This window comes from Homo sapiens, chromosome 18 (assembly GCF_000001405.40).
Source record: "Homo sapiens chromosome 18, GRCh38.p14 Primary Assembly".
Taxonomy (NCBI): domain Eukaryota; kingdom Metazoa; phylum Chordata; class Mammalia; order Primates; family Hominidae; genus Homo; species Homo sapiens.
In genome coordinates, this window is record NC_000018.10 from 41,977,820 (window position 1) to 42,003,569 (window position 25,750).

Sequence of the window (25,750 nt, forward strand, 5' to 3'; positions counted from 1 at the left end):
ATGATGCAGCTATGATGGTAACGAAGTCTCATTCATTCAGCTCAGGCTTTTGTCAGATTATTGACTTGATCACAGGATTATTTTTCAGAAGTTTGAGGAAAAAAGGACACTGCTTCTCTAGACCAATTTTTTGTTTGTTTTTGTTTGTTTGTTTGTTTTGGGGACAGGGTCTCGCCTTTTTTCCCAGGCTGGAGTGCAGTGGCACACTCACAGCTCACTGCAGCCTCAGTCTCCCGGACTCAAGTGATCCTCCCACATCCTCTGGAGGAGCAGGAACTACAGTTGTGCACCACCATGTTTGAATAGTTTCTTTTATATAGAGATGGTGCCTCACTTGGTTGCCCATGCTGGTCTCAAACTCCTAGGCTCAAGCAGTCCTCCTGCCTCAGCCTCCCAAACTGCTGGGATTACAGGCATAAGCCACCATGCTGGACCTCTAGGCTAATTTACACCACTATAAAAGAAGTGATTAATGAAAAGGGAGTAACAGGAATTTTGGAAAAAACTAAAGATGTCACATTATACTTTGGGATTGCAATTATAATCAAGGAGTGCGATAATGGACCAAGTTAGGGATATGTCAGTTCTCACAAAGTTTGAGAAAGGCAAGATGTTCCATTCAATTGAGAACCTATAAGGGAAGATAACCCAAAAGGACCAAGGGGTTCTTTGGTTCTTTTGGTCCCATTCTCAAGGGGACAATTTGGCATGGACTAAAGAAGGTCTTGGATTAAAATTTGAAAGGAAAAATCCCTAAATATAACAATATTTTAAAATTTTCTTTCTTTTGAATGCATTAAACGCACATTGAAGAAGTAAGCCTGTGTTAGACACTGAATTGATTTAGTTGAGTTATAATCTTCATCCAAGTGCCCTTCAGCCTAGGAGAGTTAGCCAAATAATTTAGTTAAGTAGTAATTGAAAACCAAGATTGTTGAGAAGGGTAGCAAAAAGGCACTCATTGATCTATTCAGTTTTCCTAGTCCTGGAAAGTTAACTGTCAGGGTTTTAACATTTACATGATGAATGAATATTGAAACTTACCCCCCAGAAAGAAAAAATTGGGATTCTTTTGATCTTACCTTTTTTCCCTTTTAATTTTACATGTAGAAGAGTTACTAGCTAGGCATGTTGGTGTGCACCTGTAGTTTCAGCCACTCAGCTACATGGAAGGCTGAGGCAGGAGGATTGCTTGAGTCCAGGAGTTTGACACCAGGCTGAGTAACATAAGAGACCCCGTCTCTTAAAAAAAAAAAAAAAAAAAAAAAGAGTTCACATAGCAGGCCTAAGGCTGCTGTGCTTAGAAGGGCCTGCTTGCAAGGTTGGCCCTTGGCTGATGTCTGAGAACTGAGCTTCTGAAACAATTCCTAACTGATACAGATGTTTCACTGTGTCTAGACTGTTTCCACATGTGATTTATGATGAGCACTTGCTCTCTTTCTGGAAGTCTAAAATTTTGGTAGTTGTAAGGCAGAGATTGCCTTTGTGACCAGCTCCCAGTAAAATCCCTAAACTCTCATTCGGAAATGGGCTTTTTAGAGCTGCATTTTTCCCGCTAGAGATGTGAATATACTTGCATGTTATCTCTGAAAGACTAAGATCAGTCAATGTTTTGGATTTTAGAGATATGATTTAAGAAGTGATTTTTATTATATAGTGGACATCAGTTCTTATTACAAATCCTATAATGGGTTATCAAATTGATGATTTATATGAATTTCTAAACCTGTACCCACGTAATGATATTTTGTAGTTAGATTTTGGAGAAATGAGAAACATTAAAGTATCCAAGGAGGAGGTGTTTTGAAAAATGAAGGCATTATGTTTTATTTTACGCTTTTAAGATTAGTAGAACTATAAAAACTGATGAAAGATTTAAATAATAATGAGATACATTATAACTGGGGTTGAAGACTGACAGTCAAGATTCCTGAATTACAGCTCTCACTGATGGCAGCTTATTGAATAGCTAGCTGTTTCTGTATTCCTGGGTATTTTTCATTGTTAAAATGTGGTCAGATCTCCATTATCTCTGCTAATTATAGGAATCATGCCATTATTATTATTATTATTATTATTATTATTAGCTATTCTGAAAAGGAAAATTAACCTCAGACTATTTTGTTTATAAATTACAGCAAGCTGATTAAGTGTACTTCTCCTGGATTCTGAATACACTTCCTTCCGCCTTGAATAAATTATGTGAAATAATGTTGATGAATAAACTGACATTCTGGATCAAATTACTTTAACAGAATAAATTGTTTAGAAGGACCTATTAGTGATCTTTTCCCCTTATTATTGTTACATAATTTATTGTTTTCAGAATTTAACACTTAAGTTCCTAAAATTGCTTTCAATTGATTATATATGTTAGCACTTTTCTTGGGAAGTTTGTATTCTTTGTAAGAAATATCTATACTTGGTTAAGTCTTCACTTGGTTAGGTATATCACATAAAGAAAGTGTCCTTTCTCCATAGCTGAATCACTTAATGATTTAGGTTATAGCTCAAGTAGCTTGATAATCTTCGGTTTTCTATTTTCTAATCAACTGCCCTTAGTTATGATGTCTACAGTACATGCAGTGCAATATTAGACTAAGTATAGTAATTTAGGAGGGTGAATCTATCATCCCTAATGATGTAACCATTACCCCATTTAGGTAAATGAATATACAAAATATAGACAGTGTTCTGTTAATATGTATGTATATTACATTTACTTTTTACCCACAATATAAAACAATTCACTTTGGGAGGCTGATGGAGGAGGATCACTTGTGCTCAGGAGTTCGAAGCCAGCCTGGGCAACATGATGAAACTTTGTCTCTGTAAATAAAAAAAAAACAAAAAACAACAATTGGGACTTGACCATTTGTAATAATGACTATAGTAAAAATAATCTCATTTTCTCAAAAACAGTAAGAACACCCTTATTTATTTAATCACTAGGAACAAAAGAAAACTTCCGTCTTTTAAATGTATGTGTTTTAGAGGAAGAAAAACGGTGTCCTAAAGAGTTGAAGAATGCATTTGTTACTTTACAAATCAAAATATAGGATCCTAGATATAACATTTGGGTTGAGCAGAAGAGTCTTATATTTTTTTCTTCCTCGAATGTTTTGTAAATGACAATAATAAACAACAGAATTATGATAAATGCTGAAATTATTCAAGGCTATCAAATTTATTCATTGATGTCATTGATATCACCAAATATACCTCCTAGATATAGGTTTTTGTATAAATATCTGGTATAGCTTTTATAAACATATCTTATTGCTTTGATTCTGTGTCGCCATTGAATTGTGTTATAACAAGCGTTTGGGAATATCTCGTAAATTTATTTTTAATGCTACCTTCTGTTTTATTAATCACTTTGGTTTGCTTACTGCTAAGACTGTCAGAAGTTTTGGATTTGTCTGGAAACCAATGATAGCAAGTAGACTAAATTAGTTTTTGCCAGTGCCCTAAAACAGTATTGATTTATGTTCTGTAAATCTATTTTCTGTCTTTACAGTTATAGTTTCTGCCAGAAAAATAGTAAGACACTTTTAAGACTAGATTTATCTTCAAGAAGTTTAACTAAATGAAACTTTTATGAAGCAAATACTACTCTTCCTGAATAATAAGATTTACATGTACAGTTTGAAAGTAAAATTGGAGATTTGTGACCAAGACTTCATTAATCAGGAAGATAGAAGAAACTTCTATGCTTGCCAAGAATTAAATACATAGGCATATGCAAAGTCTCTAAAACATGCACACGTACATGATTCTTTTTCTAATCTCAGTAGTTCAAATAAATTATTTTATACAACTGCATTTTGTCTGAAGTTATAAATTACGGCATAGCTTGGCCGGGCCTGGTGGCTCACACCTGTAATCCCAGTACTTTGGGAGGCTGAGAAGGGTGGATCATTTGAGGTCAGGAGTTCGAGACCAGCCTGGTCAACATGGTGAAACCCCTTCTGTACTAAAAATACAAAAAAAAAAAAAAGAAAAAATTAGCCAGGCATGGTGGTGCATGCCTGTAATCCCAGCTACTCGGGAGGCTGAGGCAGGAAAATAGGAAAATCTCTTCAGCCTGGGAGGCGGAGGTTGTGGTGAGCCGAGATCACGCCACTGCACTCCAGTCTAGGCAACAGAGTGAGACCCTGTCTCAAAAAAAAAAAGGTACTGCATAGTTTATATTTGATTTGAGACGCTTATTGTCTTTTTTTGAAGAATTACACTTTTTTAGTAATATAATTCTAGTGCACCATGCAACTATATTAGCAGACAAAGATATTGTCTTCAAGTATTTATTAATTTAGCTCAGTTCTATTTTAGACTCAGAGAGGCATTAGAGTCAAAAGAGTTAAGCTATGGCCTTTAACCTGAGGGAGTTTAGAGGAATGAGATGGGAGGTAATTGACAAAATGCAACCCTGTACAATCATATAAAGGGTTACTGGAAAAACAGTCTTTTGTATATAGTAGTACCAGACATTATTAAACACCTATTGAAAAATGGTAACATCTTCTAATTTATATGGTTTTGTAGTTGGATCTAGTTGAAGGGCCCTTGGAAGAAAGTGAGAGAGCAATCAAGTTTATACTTGGATTTTATTTCAGGTGGTTAAGTTAAATTAATGAGATAGGGCTTTATTCTTTGAGCTTTTATTATGAAGTGAAATTGCTTTATTTAGCATTATCTTTATAAAGGCTAATCTTTAGTGGTTTTCCCAACGGAGCTTTCTCCACAATTAATTGTTTCTTAAATTACTTTAGCTTTTAAATGACTTTTATTTTTTCTTACTACAAAGATAATATACATCTTCTACAGTGGTAGAATATTGTTAAAGCACAAAGAGGACTATGAAAGTCACCCCAGTCTACCTACCACTCAAAGATAATCACTAGCACTTTGGTTTATATGCTTTCAGTAAATTAATAAATGTATGTGTGTTATAGATGAATATGTGAACATTTATTTTAAAATTAGAATCATACCGTATCTGTGTGCTTAATTGAATCTTGCTTTTACATTTAATGGTGTCTCAGAATTGTTCCAGGTTATTTAAGATACTTCTACCACATAATTTGTAAAGGCTGGAGGGTTTTGCATAGTGTAGATAAGTCATAATTGATTTCAGCAGTCTTCTATGGTTGGATATTAAAAATGTTTGAAATTCTTGGTTCATTTTCTATTTATTTGAAATGAAAAGTGAGGATTATATTTTTAAGTTGTTTTTAGACAACTTACTTGGTTTGCTCATATCCTGTATTTCCAAGTTATCAGTCATAAGGTATTACTTTCATATCACTGTTTCAATTTGTAGTTACACTTTTAAGTGCTTACTATATTGAATGACTCACTTATTTCCACCTTGATGTTCTGTTAGGGCAGAGAACTTGCTTCTTTTGTTCAACATTCTATGCTCATCTGAAGGACAGAGGACATGATGGAAGTTTGTTACTTAATAGCCAGCAAGTTACATATATTTGTATTGAGAGTGTATAAAGATTAGGGAAGAGTGACCAAGGGCAGGAATCTTTTTTTTTTTTCTCTCTCCAGCTTCCTTTTTAGTGTCACTCCCACCTCTTCCCCTGAAGCCCCAAAGCTCTTTGGGCAGAATATCAGAGTATACTTACATTTGTTTTCCATTATGTCTGTCACCCTTTCACATAGAAAGCCTTTCAATAAGTATAAATAGACATTGAATGAATAAATGCTAGCTTCTATTGAACATTCATAGCTCTTATACTCAAGAAGCTCATTTGTCTAGTAAAATAGAGAAGAGTACGGAGCAATGAACTGTGAGTTCTAATGATCGTGGAAGTCTGTCTATTTCCAAGGATCACTATCTGCTCTGAAATTTGTTTTCCCTGCTGGTCTTATTCTTACACAGTGCAGCAAGTTGGCCTACTTTTGGCTCTGTCCTTGATACTTTTATTAAACACCTACTAATCTGAGACATCTTCCTCAAACACATCTTTTTGTTCTTTCATTAAATCTGACAATACAGAATTAGTACTCCAAGAAGTTTCCCAGGCATGTTGTTATTTGGTTCTTGTGGATTCTTTTATTTAAATAGCTTTTAAAACTCCTTGCTTTTTAATTCTTGGAGAAGTTAGGGCTAAATTATGCCTTTTTTTTTTTTTTGTGACAGTGTACTTTTCTTCCAAACTCTTTGTGACTTCCTGTGAATTCTGTTAAGAAACCTGTGTTCCTTTAAAAAGAGAGAATGAATTTTTTTTTTTCCTGTTTCTTGACCTATCCCCATCCTAGAATGGGCATCCTAGTGAGGATTATTTCTTCATGAGTAATTGAAACAGTTTGTCCTACTTTTACCTTTCTGCTTAACAGAATGCAGATTTTCTCTTTGGAAAGATGTAAATCACTGACATTACAGACCCAAAATTAAATATAAATTGTTATGCCACCTGTGTCTATTGTTCATTTTTGGTCTTTAGTATCTATAGAAGTTCGTGGATTGGAGATAACTAGAAGTTGCTTTGAACTGATGAAAACCACTCAAGTATATCTACATTGTTATCAGCACCCATAAGAGATGAAGTGACATAGGTTATGGGCTAATTAGAATAGCTGTTACAACTTACATAGTGCTTTATAGTTTTATAAAATTAATAAAAAAATTTAATATAATTAATAACTAATTATTTCACTTACATTGAGCAGTAAAGGTAAACGGCTTTATGGTTTGAAGAGCCAGAAGAGACTGTGTTAGCTGGAGTTTAGTGAGTTCGTTGGAGAGGTGAAGGAGATTATTCTGAAGAGGAAGGCAGCTATGGATCATTTAGCAATTGTGATAGCTAGTTCTAGACTTTTTCTGCTGCCTAAAGTCCAGCCAAGAGCTGACTTTGCCATCTCTAAACTCTACACACCTGCTCCCTTGCAGTGGAACAATTAATTGTATTATTTGCTTGGACTCTCTGATAAGTAAGCGCTGTGCTAGCTAGTCTCTTAGGATGGCCCTCAATGAAATATGCCTTCTGATAGTCACACTCTTCCACATTATATTACCTTGTGACTGATTTTAACTGTTATAATGCAGCAGAAGTGATGCTGCGTCTGTTCCAGGCAAGACAGCGTGACAGCTTTGGTTTCTTCACATGTTAGGAACATTAAGCCATCATGTAAGAAGTCCAGCTATTCTGTTGGAGTGACCAAGTTGAAAAACCACTTGGAGAGGGAGCAGCACTGAGAATACGTGGGGAAAGAGAGGCCCTACCACCCTGGTATCCCGGCTAAGCCCACCCTTTATCACCAAGGTGTTAGAAATGTGAGTAAAGCCAGCTTGGATGTTCCAGCTCTAACCACCCAATGAATACAATATTATGACTACTGATAAGTGAGACTACAAGAAAAAATTATTTAAATGTCTCTCAAGAAGATGATTTTGCCAAAAAAAAGATAATGAGAAACAATAAAATGAATGTCGTTTTAGGCCACTAAGTTTTAGGGTGGTTCGTTATGTAGTAATAGGTAAATAGGACAGGCATCTAGGAGACATTTTGAGTGGTAACTGTACAATTCTGTGGAAATCATAAAATTAGCTCAAAGAAATACACAGAATTTTTGCTGTCAATCTCAAAGTCAGGTACAGGAGACAGACATGCAAACAATTTCCATAGCATAAATGGTACCTTTAATTTTGCAATCGGTTTTGCACTCAACAATATCTTTCCTGTGAAGGCATACAGATTTTTCTCATTCTTTTTGATTATAGCATTTCATAGTGTGTGTGTACTCTAGTTTACTTAACAGTTCTCACTATTGATGAACATTTTCATTCTTTTGTGTCTAATTTTTCTGTATTGCAAATATGGTGCACAAATGTGAATTTCTCTAGTATAATTTAAACTTATTTTCATAGTGACTGTACCAGTTTTAGTACTGGCATGCTGTCCATACATTCTTTAGTAGCTCTTATACAATTGAGATAGGTCATATTTGGTATTCAAATAGGAAAGCTAATCATATGCTATATGGGAGATAATATATATTAGCAGCAAACATAAATTCTAGAGCTAGTGAAAATGGCTTTAGAACATTTCTAATTTGTCTGGATAGTTTTAGTAAAGGAGGAAAAAAGTTCCCACCACATTCTCCCACATCCAAACTTAATTTACCATTGCCAGTTCTTTGCTCATAGGAAATTAGCAGTGGATCAACTATTGTATCATAAATACAAAACTAATATTCGAGAAACGACAGAATTGAGTTTCACTTAAAGCTCTTAGTACATCAGTAGAGAGGATAGCAGACTGGTGGTAGGAGTATAGGCTTTAGAATCATATAGTCTGGGGTTTAAACCCTAGCTTGGCCACTTCATAGTAGTAGTTGATAGTCATCTGCAAACTGGGGTCAAAATAGTCTACAAAATAGTGTGGTTATAAAAAGTGCCTATAATTTGGCATGTAAATAAATGTTATTTTTTTCTCCATTCCTATAGGAAGTATATAAACTCTTATTACTAATTTTTACTGTTACTTCGTTCGTACAAGCAAAGGATGTAAAATGACCTTTTACATTTTCATTTATTTTGAAAACCAGTTTGGAGCATATTGCGAAGTGAGTAAGAATAGAGGCTTCCAATGACTGCATGAAATAATACCACCTGTTATATTTTGCATCTATTACTTTATTTGAGTTTTGGGAGTAAGAATAGATGTTAATACTTGAATTTTATTGATGTGGGTTCAGAAAGGACATAGTTTGAAAATGGAGTATTAAGGTTGGAACTCTGGTCTTCCAGCTCCTACTCTAGCACTCTTTTCTGTAGGTCACATTGTCTGATCTTCTTTTGGTTTCCTTGTGACTATTTCTAGGTCTCTTTCCATGTTGCTAGCATATTTGTCTATTATTCCACCAGAGCCACCACGATATTTAGTTCCTGCTTTTTGTAATCATGCTAAGCTTATTAATAACTTTTCATACATTTTCATATAGAAATTACCTCACATGAAAGGGAATTATTGGAAGAAAGCTAAATTGATATTACTTTTTTTTATTACAATGAACTTCAGACTTTTTGTGTGACATTAGTATTTTTATTTCTGAAATAGTATGACCACATAGTTGTGATGAGTTGAGGAAGAGAAAGAAGATTGATAGTGAAGATTTTTAATTCTGCAAGAGAGATGAAATTGGTGGCAGTGTTTGCTGTTCTTATAGGAAAGCTGTCATGATATGGACAATGAAGCAGAAGAAACTGATATAGATAAGCTACTATGTAAAGCTTTGATGTCCAGTTTTGCTTTATACTGTCAATTTGTTTAGAAGGAATGAGAGGGGTGTTGATTTTTAGTATTACAGTTTCTAATTCAAAACCTGGTTCTAATTTGAGGTCCTTGGAACTTACCAGGAATTCTCTATGGATTTGAAGAGTCAATGAATTATTAAAGTTATAAAACTAAGGTTAGATTGGTATGTAAGACCTCACAGGACTCTACCAACTGCTATTCTAGAAAATTGAAGTCTTTTATCACCGTTGCCTAAAATTAAAGCATACATGCATATGTGTGAGCTTAAACCTTAGAGTATTAATGTGCAAACCCAGAAAAATACCTTATTACCTGTAACTGTCATTTTTTCATGTTGGTTAGATACATTGAAAGATGGGAAGAAAAGAGAAAAAGTGGTTTATTTCCCATTCATGAAACTATTATTATAATTTCATCTCTTTGTAATAGTCAAAATACAAGAAATATAGGAACACGGAGATAATTTCAGGAACAACTTCATTATTCTTTATCATGTCAAAATATGGCAAATTATGGACCTTTTTAAAAAAAATTTAATTGTTTTTCTTTAAAAAATAATGATTTGTCTCTTGCCAAGTTTCTTATCCTGCTAATTGCGTATGGTTTCTATTGTGTATAGGAAAGTATCATATGTGAAGTGTACATTGCCATTCTGACATTTTTGGTCCTTCTTTCTACTAGATGTATATTAAAATTTTCGTCATTGTATTTATTCTGCAGCTCACCAAAGCTCATCGACAAGGACACATGGTGAAAGTAGATTGGCTGGATAGATTGACATTTAGAGAAATAGAAATGATAAATGAGGTGGGTTATATCACTCTTTTATTTTAAAATATTTTCTGTAAATTTTTAAATTAACAATTTTTTGATAAGAATTATTATTAGGTATCTTACAAATATAGGATTATCAGGGTTAACCCCTGTAGCTGGGAATTCTATGCTAATAACTGGAAAATTGGAGATATCAGCCTTCCCTATATTTTAACGTAATGTCAAACTATGAAGTAGGTAGTGGATATTCAAAGATGTTCTAAATATCATATGAGTGAAGCCTATGCAGACTTAATGCCTCAGTGGTGTGTTCTCTGTCATATCAGCTCATGTTCAAGTCAGCGTTGGATAAATCTTCCATCAGCACAGTGCCAGCTTTTCACTTCAGTTACCATAAATCATTTCAGCAAGTTCTCTCTTCAATTAATTTATTACTTGTCTATGTACTACATATAGGACTCCGCACCCTCTATAAAGTTACATGATTTAGGTGATTTTTTTCTTGACCTTGTATGTGAGCCAGTGTGTATGTTTAAATAAAGATGGCTTCAATGAGAGTCCTGCCAAAAGTTGTAACAAGAATAGTTTACTTTTTTGTATATTTGCTCTAAAATGCCAGATGTTAGGCCTAATGTTCCACATCTAGAGAACAGAAACAATAATTATATTAATCAAATTAGGAGAGAAGGACATCAATTTGTGATTTGTCTAATTTATAATGACCATAAGGCACAACTTACTTAATTTATATTCTCCAAATAATTTTCAGCAGGTAGAAAGAGAGAAGTTTTTAATTTTACAGTGAACTATTACAAAAGTTAGATTTTAGCATTATTCTTTTATTTTAAAATAAAGGTAGTGATGTTTAACAACATTTATATTCAATTCTCGTATTTGGTACCTTTTCTAAATTTATTCATAATACATTCCTATATACATAAACTGGAAGGAAGCCTTTTTAATTTTTATAATAGTCACATTTCAAAAAGAGTTTACTCATAATACTAACTTATATTTTTCTCTTCTTAAACTTAGATATCACTGGGTATAGAAAACGTAATGTTAGAGTTTGCCCAGCCTTTTTCATATTTTTACATTTTAATTTCTTTGAAAGAAATTACCATTACCACCGCATTACTATTACAAAATAGACTATAATATGCTTCATAAAGCTGAAGAATTTAAGTAACCTCTTCAGACCTTTATCATTTATTATTTCTTTTTTTTGTTTGTTTTTTTTGGGGGACAAGGTCTTGCTGTGTCACCCAGGCTGGAGTACACTGGTATGCTTAGTGCAGCCACAAACTTCTGGACTCAGGCAGTCCTCCTGATTAGCTTCCCAAGTTGCTAGGACTACAGGCCTGGCTAATATTTTTAAAATTTTTTGTAGAGTCAGGGTCTGGCTATATTGCCCAGGATAGTCTCAGACTCCTGGCTTCAAGCAGTCCTCCCACCTCCCAACGTGCTAGGATTACAAGTGTGAGCCACCATGCCTGGTGATTTTATGTTTTAGATGTAAAGCCATTTATAAAGGTGTTTTGGGTCAAGGCTAATCACCCGCTTAGACTTCATTGTATTTTCACTTTATCATCACCTTAGTATAGTCATGTGCCTCATCATATCATTTCAGTCAACTGCAGATCACATGTACAATGATGGTTCCGTAAGATTATAGTACTTTATTTTTACTGTACTTTTTCTCTTTTAGGTATGTTTAGATACACAGATACCTAACTATTGTGTTACAGTTGCCCACAGTATTCAGTACAGTAACCTGAAGTAACAAGTTTGTAGCCTAGGGGTAATATGCTACACCATATAACCTCGGTGTGCTATAGGCTATACCATCTAGATTTGTGTGTTTACATTTCATGATGTTTACACGACTAAATTGCTTAATGATGCATTTCTCAGAATGTACACCTGTCGTTAAGTGACATGTGACCATGTTTGCTTTTTTATTTTAAAGGGGACACAATTATATAAATAACTTTTTTTTATGTTGGAACAAGAAGTAATTATTCCGCAGTATATTTAAAGTGTGGATAAAAATTTACAAATGACAAATCATTTTAAGACCATTTATAAATTGCGAAAAACTTGTAAAGGCTATACTTGGTAAACTCAAATGGCCTCTGTTCTTAGGTTGCACACTTTTCTTCCTTTTGATTTTTGTTACACATATTGATTTCTATGGTTTAGTCATATAAGTTAAGGGTGAACTTAGCTTAAAATTGTTAGAAGGAAAAACCATTCTTTTTATTTTTGAAATAAAATAGTTCTCATGAACATGTGTGCAAAATACCTTCAAGATTATAAACCCAAACTACTGAATAAACCAAAAATGTTAAATTTGAGAAAGCAGTTATAAGTGCATAGTAGACACTACTGAATAAACAGTAGTGCTGTCTATAATAAAATAATAGTGCTGTGTAAAACACACTACATGTATATAATAAAATAAAAATGTGTTATGTTTTGACTTGTATTTGATAGATACATGTATTACTGAATTAGGAAAAATGATACATACTGATCCTTTAAGAGAATGTTGAAAATAATCATTTTTCATGAAAATCATTTTTTTTTTCAGAGTGAAAAACGAAGTTCTAATTTCATGTACCTGATGGTTGAATTTCGATGTGTCAAGTGTGATGATAAGGAATATGGTATTGTTTATTATGAAAAGGTATTTCCCTTGGAACTGTTTTTGGTCTCTAAAGTAGAGGGGAGAGGAAACATTAAAAAAATATTGTTGTTCCTGCTGGGATGAATTATTTGGTTGCAGGGTAGCAGCAGACAGCTGTCAGCAGCAGCTGTTTATGTATACAGAAATCAAATCATATAACTACAACAAGATTACAAAAGCCTATCACTCATGTAATGCAGTTCTGGGTTACAGAATTCAATAAGTATGCAAGTGATTAAAAACTTTGTGATTAATTGTTCTGCAAATTGGCAAGTAGGACACTAAGTAATGGCTTCATTTACTAATATTATTTATTTAAAAAATGAAAGGGGGAAATTATATTTCTAAGTGGTAGGCTATTTATTGAAAGTTAAGAGTCTGTTTGTTATTTGAGTGTATGTGTAATGTCTATATGTGGCCCTCACTGAAGTATACTTATGAAATACTTCAGAAATGTCCATTTGTACAATAGATGCAAAATTAAGACAATTTTACCATCAGGCTGGGTAATAACAAATATGCAGTTATAGATTTGCTTTGTTCTGCCCATTATGCTACAGAAAGTAGTTCTGTGTTTATTATGTACCTACTTGAAAGTATCTTCCTTAAATGCTTGTAGAAGGTGCTTCATTTAAGTACTACAGAAATAATTATATATTTAAGTACTACAGAAAATAATTGTATGCAGGCCAGGTGTGGTGGCTCATGCCTGTAATTCCAGCACTGTGGTTGGCTGCGTGGGAAGATTACTTGAGCCCAGGAGTTTGAGACCCGCCTGGGCAACATGGCGAGACTCCATCTTTATTTAAAATAAATATAAAAAAAAATGTATGCATAGTTTGAAACCACATAAAGTATCTTCTATTATTGTGTTAATAGTCAACAAATGTTAAATCAGCATAAATGATGACAGACTTTTGATACATGGCATAGTAGTAGATTAATATTTCTTCTAGCATATGACCAAGCTGATATGCAGTGTATTTGTTCATTAGAAGCAGTCCTTTTAAATTAAATTTACATTTTATTGTTGTTTATTAAAGCTGTCACAAGTGATTTTTAAAATATGTATACTTTTATAAATTACTATTTGAAAGGTTTTCATAATGAAGGTTTGAGTTTTTACAGTTTATTTATGATCTTTTTTCAAGTTACTGTTCATATTTTTGTCTTTAACTCATATCCCTTTCACGTTAGTGAAAGACTAGGAAGTGTTAACTTGTTTCTGCCTTTTATTTTATAAATGGTACTCCTTGGATAGATTATTTAACATTGTTTATTAATTTATTAGAAAAAATACATCAAAACAAGGGAAATGTGAGTGAAACTGTTCTGTCACCAGTGCATTTTAATAAAATCATATTTTACATTTTAAACTATATGTCATTTCATTAAAGGCAGTATTTTCTGCCCATATAGAGTTTGTATTGCAAAAACATGCTAATGGAGATGGTACTTTCAAACACTGGAGATGTGAAGGATCCTTTGAAAGACAGCTTGATAGCAGATGAAATAATAACAGAATAGAAATTAGAAGAATTTCAAGTATTTTTGAAAAGGTTCTTGACCCCTTTCTACCACTTCCTGAAAATTGCTCATAAATTAATGCCTGTCTACCCACCCTGTCATATTTCCACTTAGTGTAAAGATTGCTGGGCCAGTGTATTGAATCTAATGGAAATAGACTTTCTTGTCACCTGTCTTGTGACAGATAGCCTTAGTGAAGATTACTTGTCACAGCTAGGCTGATAAATGTGTTTTCTGGTGTTGTGACTGAGAACAAGCCTGTTAAACAACGGCTGTGGGAATTTGTGGTTTTCTGTAAGACTCAATTACTGAACTGAAGTAAAGTTACAGTGCTTCCCCGCTTTCAGTCTCTCTTGAGTTTGTTGCCCATATTTAAAATTGAAAACATACTAGCATTTGGAAATTGACAGAAAAGCTTGATGCTAAATATACAGTCATGAGAAAGTGAATTTTGACCTTAATTAGTTTAGCCTTTTTCCAGTATATTTGGCAGTGACATTTTTATGTTGAATTACCTTTCTCACATTGGAGAAAAATAAAAGCCAACATTCTTCAAAGGTGATAATACCAACAAAATAGGATGGCTTTATTTCTGAAAAACTGATTGATTGATTTTATTATTCAAGTTTAGATTATGTTGAGCAGGTGTCCCTTTGAGAAACAACGTTGTTGATTCTCTAGCTGTGTGTAAATTTGAGTAATATTAACCCTACACTTAAAATTCTGCTTCTTTGAATGGATCTCCATTATGATACCTTGAAAAATTACCAACATCCACTTAGTTTTTGCAAATGATGCAACACATCCATTGTGCCACATTTTACATATAGTCTGTGGTTTCTTGTTCTGAGTTTGAAAATTAGCACGTTTTTAAAAATCCACTGTCATTATATGAACGAAGTTTAAAAAAAAGGAACAACTCGAAACAATCTAATTTCCAGACCTCATACCTCTAAAACTTTAGTAAGAATTTTGTTAGAGTTTTTCTCAAAACAATTTCATAATCAACCAAGGAGAGGTACAAAGTGGACATGCATTTTATAATATTGTTAGAAGAAGATAAGGATTTCTTTAAAGGGAAGAATGATGTTCATCAAATAGAATTAAAATACATTGATGTGTACATCATATACTGCTTCCTATTGTATTAAATTTCTTTTTTTAAAAAATTATTGCTCTGTAATCTAGGACGGTGATGAATCATCTCCAATTTTAACAAGTTTTGAATTAGTGAAAGTTCCTGACCCCCAGATGTCTATGGTAAGTTATTGTGCAATTTTTTTATGAAAGTACTTTTCTTCAGAGTAATTGTGAGTTAGCCACATCATGTACTTTCTTTAAACAAAGTAATATATAACTGCCTCCGTTACCTAAAAGTGATTCATAAATTCACTTTAGCATCTAGGCACTGTTTCTGATGGAATTTTATGAGGAATATTAACATCTTAAAACTAAGGTAAGGGTAGAGTAGGGTTGGGCATCCACTTTGTTTGAATTGCTGAAAGAGCTAGGCAGTATACTCTTTTTTTTTTTCTTCAGGTTGGGGGTATATAATCTTGAAGTGAAGACTTGGCAGAACTGGTATTTGAAAGATTGCCATCATACAGAAGGAGAATTTGCCTGTTACAGGAGGATTCTATAACCAGGATGAATGCGTGAAAGTTTTAGGGAGACCAATTTGTTGGAAAATAGGGAAGATTGCTGTAGCCCTAGAACTGTTCAATTTGGAACGTGGTAACTTGGATGATGGTGGGATACCTTCTTATTAACGAATTTTTGAGATGATAGCTTTCAGGGATATGAGGATAAGAATTCATACAATGCAAAAGAGGTTTAATTAGATGACTTTAGAATTACAAACTTGTAGGCACAAAATCCTTTTAGCAGCACGATAGTTACCATGATTTTTGCAGTTACAGCTCATTTACATCATTCCAACTCTTTTTGTTCTAATTTTATACATTTCTAATTAGATTAGTTACCTTCCTCATCAGACCAAAGTGGATTAAAATTGGGACATTGGATGATGAAAACATGATGATTGAGATAAGTACAGGTCATGAAAGCAGGAACGGCTGATGGCCTAATATCAAAGGAAGAGATGGGCAGCAGGGAAAGTAGAGTATAAAAAGTTAAAAAGAAAAGGCCACTTGCGGATCTGGTAGGAACATTCTAAAGACCTTGATAGTTCCTATGCATAGTATAGTAGAATCCAGTTAATCCCAAATTGGCACTGAATTTTCAGTATAAAATCAAATTATATTTTACACTTTTGATATTCAGAGCACACACTAAGTATGAAGAAATTCAGTTCAGCCTGCAGTTATAGTTATTTGTTAAATGCAGAAACACATTTTAAATGTAAACTTTGGGTGGGACTGAGATGATATACAGCTGTATCTGACAATAAAACAGACTATAATTACAATAATGTGGTAGTGACACACATGTGTAAACCAATATACTGGTTGAACAGAATTAAAAGCCCAGAAATACATCCAAGTATGCATGGAAATCTAGTATATGATATAGGTGGCATTTCTTCACTAAGTCATAATACTGAGGAATGGAATTAATTTGGAAAAAAATAATAAAATTATATCCATAACTCATGCCATACATAGGAATAAACTCCAAATGGATCTGTAATCTAAATGTTAGGAAATGAAACTAGGCCAAACATGGTGGCTCATGCTTGTAATCTTAACACTTTTGAGAGGCCAAGGCAGGAGGATCACTTGAGCCCATGAATTCTAGACCAGTCAGGGAAACTGAGGGAGACCCCATCTCTACAAAAAAATAAAATAAATTAGCCAGGTAGTGGCACGTACCTGTAGTCCCAGCTACTTGGGAGGTTGAGGTAGGAGGATTGCTTGAACTCAGGAGGTCAAGGCTGCAGTGAGCTATATTCATGCCAGTGTGCTCCAGTTTGGTCAACAGAGCAAGATCCTGTCTCAAAAAAAGAAACCACACTAGTATTTTACTGTCAGTGTAGGGAAAGACTTTTTAACTGTGACTCAGAATCCAGAGGCAATAAAATAAATGATTGATAAATTTAACTACATTTTAAAAATTACATGGCTGAAGAGACCAACAAAGCCAAAAGACAGTTAACAAACTGGGAGAAAATACTTAACTACATACATTACAGATATATTAAGGCTGATACATAAAGAACTCTTAAAAATGAAGGACAAAGGACCATAAAGCCATTAAAAAAATTAGGAATATGACATAGACAATTCACACATGCAATAAAAAATAAATAATATAAATTTATATCTTGTTTTAGGCAATGACAGTATGGTTAAAACTAATAATTTTGTCCATGGGTAAAATAGCACCAGATGTGTATATTCAAGCGTTGTGATTATTGTCCTTGCCCTCAGTAACTGATAGCTTAAATAACTGCTAAGATGATAATACAGTGACATCACAAGGTCATTAGTAGCTGACAGGAGGAAGGAATGCTTTAGTCTATGTTGTCAGGGAAGATTTTACAGTGATGGTGATATTTGATTGGTTAGAGGATATGGAAACCTTGAATATGTGGAGAGTGAAGGGACGATGTTTTAAGAAGCTGTAATGACGTGTGTATTATGGGACTAGTGGAGTTTAAGGCATACTTAGTTTCCCAGTCTTGAGAAGGATACATATTTTTAAGATATGTAGAAGACTGCTAAAGTTGTATCAGAACAAAACATTAGATATTATTAAATGCTCCTAAGTACCTTTTCTATTTATGAATAGCTTTTGAAATTTCCTTTTGGTGAAGTTTACATTGTCAATATTTTAAAATAATTTGTAGGAGAATTTAGTTGAGAGCAAACACCACAAGCTTGCCCGGAGTTTAAGAAGTGGACCTTCTGACCACGATCTGAAACCCAATGCTGCCACGAGAGATCAGTTAAATGTAAGAGAATTATGAAATATTAATTTAAAAATAGTTAAATGGGTGTTCTGGTTGAAACTGATAGCTATCACCTCACTTAAAAATTATTTAGATGCACATTTTCTCCAGGTTGATGAATCCTACATCATGTTCATAATTTCACAGATCAGCAGTTCTGTTATCATTTGGGGCTTTCCATAAATGTGTTATCTCTGGAGACAGAACTGCATATACTGTATACTTTCATGTCAGTAGTATTCTTAGAAGCTGGCCCTAAGACATTGCCTGAGAGGACTTAGTGTGTACACATGCCTTGTTGTATGCATTGACTTTAAAAGAGTTTATTGTGTGCACATTTTTCCTTTTTCTGGTAGAAGACGTTGTTATTTTGCTAGGTTTTGTTTCTGGTTGAATTAAATGAACTCTCCAGTTAAATATTTTCCTATGGAATATGACTTTATCTTCTTTTCTTCTCCTTTAAACTGCATTTTGGACACATAATTATAACAAATTTAAGGCCTACTTGACTGAGTTTACATTTTCCTTGCTTGTGTAATAATTGTAGTATAGAATTATTTAAATAAATGAAAAATATTAAGTGAAATGGAAATATATAGGACATGTATTGTTGACAAAATTAGTTCTTTTTCTTTTTTTGTTTTAGATTATTGTGAGTTATCCACCAACCAAGCAACTTACATATGAAGAACAAGATCTTGTTTGGAAGTTTAGATATTATCTTACGAATCAAGAAAAAGTGAGTGTCTTGAATATTTTCATATATCAAATTTATCTACCAACTTTGTTATTAATGATCAAGATGAGGAAAATGCCATGGAAATTGTTATTGTCACTTTAAAGAAAAGTTACAGAGCAGTATATATGAGACTCCATTTTTTAAAAAAATTATGAAATTCTGCATACAAAGACACCTGTACCTGTTTGTTGACTCATAGACAATGTCTGAATGGGTTTTGAAGTCAGAGAGACTTGGGTTCGTTTTCCAGAAGTACATTTTACGTTTGTTTGGTAGGATGAGGCAACTTACTTTGGCAGCATGGTGTCCTTATTATTCTAATGGCGACAGTTCTCCTTCACAAGTAAGATAATACAGGTAAGTAACCTGGTAGAGTATCTGGTGCATAGTAGGTGCAGAGTAAATGCTGGTTCTCTTCTTCTTACCTCTTTGAACCTGGGTGACTAGGAAAATACGTATGCTTTTATAATAACGAAACTACAGAATTCTAGACGAGATGTGGCTGGAGAGAGAGTATGAGAAATATAATTTGAGATGTGGGAATTCAGTTGGTGGAGTAGCATACAGGTTGGCATACAGGATAACGGGTAGGTCAAAGCTCAAAGCTAGACATTTGCTTCCTGTAATAAAACCATGGAGTGGATAAGGTTTCTGGAGAGAGAATTGTGGTAAAGTAGTCATCACTAACCTGAAGTCTTTGGACACTTAGTCTTGAGTCTTACTGTTGCCCCTAAGAAGCTTTTTGACTACAGGCAAATTACTTTGCCTGTATAAGCTTTAGTTTTCTTATATTTAATATGAGACAATCAGTGATTGTGAACTTTGTCTCCTAGTTTTTAAAATAGTCTGTAAAATCTTAAAACAGAGAGCCAAGGGGTACCTCTTAAGGTATAATAATAATAGCTAGCATTTTTTAAACAGATACTATGTACCAGGAATTCTTTAAATCCCATAACAACCCCACAATGTATGTATTATTGTAACTGTTCTACAGGTGAGGAAACTTGAGCCTCAGAAAGATTAGGGGACCTGTGCAGACTCACAAAGCTTATACATGCTGCCTCTTGATATGCTTGCATCTACGAATTAGAAGAAAAGAAAGTCAGTGAAGACGTAGAAAAGAGAATTATAGAGAAAACATTTTCAACATCATATACATGCCTTAGCAGACACCCTGAAATGCATTAGAGGAAGAGCAGAGAAGCATTAGGAAAATTAATATCTGTTCAGGAAGCTGTTACATATTTATTTGAGAATGAATGGATATGTTTTATAATCTTGTGATATGGTCTTTACTATTTTAAGTTGTTTTTCTGAACCAAATGTCCTTTCTTTAGTTTCTAAAGTAAAGATAAAAATCCAGTTACAGCTCATCTTAACTCTTCAGCTTTTCTGCTTTGTCATTTATTGATGCCTTAGGAAATTCTTTGTAAATGAATCATATTTATTCTCCTTTATATCCATAATAAGAATGAGAGAAGAATTTTCAATTTACTATAGCTTTGAGTGTAATTCTCTTCATCACTGAAGAAAAGGAAATATTCACTAACAGAAACACAGGTTTGTGATTTGTGTTTTATTAAAAGATTGAGTTAGTGTCATGATACTGTGTTAAATGAAGAATAACCTTGGTCACAGAAACTGCATCTTGAATGCAGCTCAGTGTCGTCTTAAATACACAGCTAGATATTGAATTGAACCTGTTAGAATGTATAGGTTTAAAAAGCATACAGGAGTAGATTTACAGAGCAGAACTTTTTTAGATAGAAAGGTTTGCAAGAAAAATTGTTTGTTTAAACAAGTAGTCACTTCCCACCGAAATTCAATTACTTCTAGATATGTGCAAAAGAAATAAAATGTTCAAGTGATATAAAGTGTGTGACAAGTTTCATTTAACTAGTTGATTTCAAGTTTTCGAAAGGTGAGTGATGAAACTTCAATTCTCAGGATATGTTATAGGATTCTTCTGACCACTAGAGTAGAGTGAACGATATGTTTTAATGTTCAGAAGTCACTATGGAGTAAACCAAATATATATAGGCCTTGAAGTGACCAAAGGAATTATTCACACAGCCACATTTGTAACCTTGTAATAATTTCAGATGGGTTTTGTGAAAAACGGATACTCTCATACTCCACCCATTAATTTATTTACAGAAAGAAATTCTTTTAGCGTCAGACTCTCAGAAATTATGATTTAGGTTACTTGACATTTGGGCCCTGGGGCTGAAAAGCTTTTCTAGAGAGAAGGCAGTGCTCAGAAAACAAATTGGAGGAAATTGGTTCTCACAAAGTCACACTTTTTATTTTTTAATTAAATTTTGTCTTTCTACCCCCTTTTTTTTTCCTTAATGACCTAAGTATTTCAGATGAAAACCTTCTAGTCAGGACTTGATGTTTCACCCAGAAAGTTCATAGTAATAACTTTGTTCAATTAAATTTGTTACCATTTAAATTTATGAAGTATTTTCAAATTCACAGTTTATAGCATGTAGGAAGTGACCCATTTCTGTGGAACCTGAAATATGAATACTGTAATTTTTCAAAACTATTTGACAAAAACTGCAATTACTTTTGCACCAACCTGCTTTTACAATGGACTTTTTTCTTATAAAAATACTAATTTAAATTAACTCCATGCCTTTTGATTATGCTTGGGGGAAAAAAGCAGTTGGAAGAGTCATGTATAGTGAAGATAATAGTGATGCACTGAGTGTTCTTATAAGGCTGTTTCTGAGACAGTGACATGAGGACAATCATCATATTTGTGTCTCCTGACAAGAAATTGATGGTGACCCATGGGATAAATGAATTCAGTTCAGCAAGTATTCATTATCACCTCTTGGCCTAGCATTATATAAGACTATGAGCTTTCAGGTATCATGTCCTTGTATTCATATAAATTAAAATTGTTTTGGGGTAAGGATATTTACACATAATTAAAATTAGGAAGTATAGCATAGTAATTGATTAAGGGTCACTCTCTTAATAAACATATAAGTAATTAATATAATATAAATGTGGAGGATGACCAGATCAGTGTGCTGTGACATGAGGAAGGTTTCACAGAACAAAGATTGCCCTTAAAGTGTGAGCAGACTTTGATAGCATTTTTTATTTGGTGGTCATTTTTTTATGGGGCAGGAAAGCATGAGTAAGGTAGGCTGTTAGGTTCAGGAAACAGTTTTGCATGAATGGTTATGAAATAGAAAAGATGGCATCAGATTGTGACGAGCCTCAAATTATACCCTTAGGAATTCAATTTTACTGGCGACAAGAAACGACTAAAGCAGGAAAATGTGTGTTAACAAGTGATATTGTACTTCTCTTTTTTTCTTTGGAGACAGAGTTTCACTCTTGTTGCCCAGGCTGGACTGCAATGGCATGATCTCGGCTCACTGCAACCTCCCCCTCCCAGGTTCAAGTGATTCTCCTGTCTCAGCCTCCCAAGTAGCTGGGATTGCAGGCGTGCACCACCACGCCGGCTAATTTTGTCTTTTTAGTAGAGACAGGGTTTCACCATGTTGGTCAGCCTGGTCTTGAACTACTGGCCTCAGGTGATCAACCTGCCTCAGCCTCCCAAAGCGCTGGGATTACAGGTGTGAGTCAGCACGCTGGCCTAACAAGTGATATTTTAAGGAGTACAAACTAGGGTAGATTGGAGCAGAGCAGAAAATGAAAAAAAGTGACATAATTAGGAGAATCATATACTGACTTAGAGAACAGTTTTGGAGGGCAAGGGATGGAGAAGAAGCTATACAAGTAAGTTGACTTTGGAGACAATGGCCAGGGGTTAGGCCTGAACCTGATGGATTTATATACGTGTGTGTTCATACCCCACTTTTGGTACCAATTTACTGTATTATTCCGCTTTCACACTTCTGATAAAGACATACCTGAGACTGAGAAGAAAAAGAATTTTAATGGACTTACAATTTCATGTGACTGGGGAGGCCTCACAATCATGATGGAAGGCAAGGAGGAGCAAGTCATGTCTTACGTGGATGGCAGCAAGCAAAGGGAGCTTGTGCAAGGAAACTCCCCCTTATATAGCCATCAGATCTCATGAGACTTACTCACTATCATGAGAACAGCATGAGAAAGACCTGCCCACGTGATTCAGTTACCTCCCACCATGTCCCTCTCATAACACGTGGGAGCTGAAGATGAGATTTGGGTGGGGACACAGCCACACCATATCAGTAAGGATATATCGCAAGTGGGAAGAAACGAATGAGATGTTTTCATGTTTGAGTATTTGGAATCAAAAGCATTGGAAAAGCAGCAAAATAGACATTTCTGAGAATTTAGTTGGTAGAAGTTTAAATTAGGAATATATATATGAGATATAGTATTTTCAGTTCTGGGGTGATTGTGATTCTAAGAATAGGAGACAACTGGTGATTTTCAGATCAAATGAATAAAACATAGTAACACATATAGTAAAGCTAACATTTGATGTCAACATCGAAATAGAATAAAAATAATAACTGATAATAAACTATTTACTATAGGATACTGTTACAAACATTTTACATTCATTAACTTAGTCTTCACCACAAGCCTATGAAAAAGGTCTCTTAAAAGTTAATGTGCTTCAATTTAGTCAGCTAATAATTGATAGAGCCAGGAATTATAATTGGAACCCAAACACCCTGGCTCTACAGCCTGTGCTCTCCAGTAATCTGTGGAAGTTACACACAGAGAGAGAATTGCTCTTTACAATTCTCTTTACATTTTTACATGGATCAGTAAAGCATCTTTAAAAGACCTAGGGTCATTTAAAAAGGCCATTATTATTGCTGTCTTCAAATTCTTACTTTTTGTCTTTCTTATTCTTTGACTCCTTGTTTTCTTCTTCATTCTGTTGGCTCCTTGTTTACATTTGTAACATTTAACATTAAAAAGTTGTGAAATTCTTTGTACAGTGCCTTATGTTTTTTGGCAGCAGCATACTTCATAAATCTTGCTAATAAGTCTATAAATCTGAGAATCTAAGTTTTAGATTGTTTCAGTTATTGAATTGAGTACATCGGCATGCTACAAGATTTGCTTATAATAAGTACATACCCGCACATTTCTATTAAGACTGCTGATGTACTGTGAAATGGAAAAGCTTTCACTGTCATTATTTAAGAAGTATTGCTTTGTTTCCACATTCAACCTAGAAATACGTTTTAGAAGTGGAAAATAAATTCATGGAATAAGTTAGTAGGGCAATCTGTGTTCTATACAGAAAGGGAGCATTATACTAAATGGTGTGCAGGAGGTGTAGAGGAAGTGGACAGCTGTCCTTGGGGAATGCAGACTCCAGTTATAGAGATAAAAATGCCCACAAAAACATTTGGCAGTTAGAAAAACATCATTTAAATGACAGTAGTAAAATTGAGCCAGCTTCTAAAGGAATAGCTGAAAGTTGCCGAAAACTTCCTGTAAAACTTTCAACAAGATGACTTTAGAGGAGATGATATCCCTGTTTGATGAAGAGTATATGGGAGGAATGTACACAGGGGTTAGAGAGACATTGTTAATGTAAGTTAACTGGGCTGAAGCATGGAAGGGCAATGAGAGGTTAATGAAATGGGTTTGCATTGTGGTAAGTGGTAGCAATGAAATGTTTTGAGAAAGAAGCCAAGGTTATTTGTTTATTTACAAATTAGAATGTCCTATCATCTAGTTGAAACCACTTTGTAACAGTATGGCAATTATCTTCAAATATTGGAAAGGTTGTCCACATCGTATGGGGCTAAATTTACTCCCATTCTCTACAAAGAATGAAACTAACCAATTAGAAAAAGCAATATGAAGACATTTTTGTCTTTTGGTTCATTATAGTTAAAATCAAAACAAAACAAAAATGGCTTAGCTTTCTATGAATATAATGGCTATTTTGGAAATTAGTTCCTGGAGTCACTTAAGTAAATATTGGGTCTCTTTTTGGCATTCATGTTGTGGGGTATTTCTGCTAACAATAGGAAATTTGTGCTAAGATCACTTCCAACTTGAGCTTCTAAGAGTTTGTATGAAATGATTAGAAGAGAAACTCGTATTTAGTTTCTTAGCTAGAAGGCTCTGTCCAACTCCAGATGTGTCATATAATGAGAATCAGGCTGAAGACAAATATAGGAGATATTGCTAGGAAATAATTGAAAGGAACTGGAATGGATTCAGGAGATTAGTGTTGTCAGAGTAATGGCTCCAAGGGGAATGGGACTAACTAGGGAATGGAGCGCCTTAATGGTAAGGAAGCACCATCTGGTGGAAGAAGTATGGGGCTGAGAATTGGTGGACCTGAGTTCTACATCTAGCTCATGCACCATCTTGAGGTGATGGGCAAGCCATTTATCTTTGCTGAGGTTATATACAATTTAAGCATTGAACTAGACAATCTCCATAGTGCCGTTTTTCTTAATAAAATCAAGAATAAGTTAGGGGATGGGTTTGAAGGTTCATTTAGTGTCATACTAACAGAAATTATGTTTTGTTGTCCAAGTAGACATTTTCTTGAGGAATTGATTAGTTTACTAATAAAAAGATTTTGGTTGGGCAGAGCAGGGGTCTTAACATTTTCAAGTTACCTATTTTTCAACAAATAGCAACAGAGGAAGACAAAGAAGAAGAAAACATCTTGGGTTCAGCCAGGAAAGTGTTGCCTTTGAGACCCAGCAATAAGTATTGCTTTTTATGGAAAGCAAGTACATGCTTTTCTTTATTTTCATTTGTTTTTGTAGAGATGAGTTCTTGCTGTGTTGCTCAGGCTGGTCTTGAACTCCTGGCCTCAAGCAATTCTCCTGACTGAGCATCTGAAAGTGCTGGGATTACAGGCATGAGCCACCACA

General features: G+C 34.3%; 1 protein-coding gene across 5 annotated transcripts in view; it reads left to right on the forward strand.

The window, feature by feature from the left end:
* The window catches only part of PIK3C3 (phosphatidylinositol 3-kinase catalytic subunit type 3), a 132,597-nt gene that overhangs the window by 22,586 nt on the left and 84,261 nt on the right, over positions 1–25,750 (forward strand). For 4 of the 5 annotated variants that reach the window (NM_002647.4, NM_001308020.2, XM_047437549.1 and 1 more), the window contains 5 exons: positions 9,993–10,079; positions 12,640–12,735; positions 15,451–15,522; positions 18,071–18,175; positions 18,819–18,911. In NM_002647.4, the coding sequence (NP_002638.2) occupies positions 9,993–10,079; positions 12,640–12,735; positions 15,451–15,522; positions 18,071–18,175; positions 18,819–18,911 (453 nt within the window). Of the gene's footprint in view, positions 1–7,125; positions 7,289–9,992; positions 10,080–12,639; positions 12,736–15,450; positions 15,523–18,070; positions 18,176–18,818; positions 18,912–25,750 lie in introns of all 5 variants that reach the window. The other variant, XM_047437550.1, reaches the window with a different exon arrangement.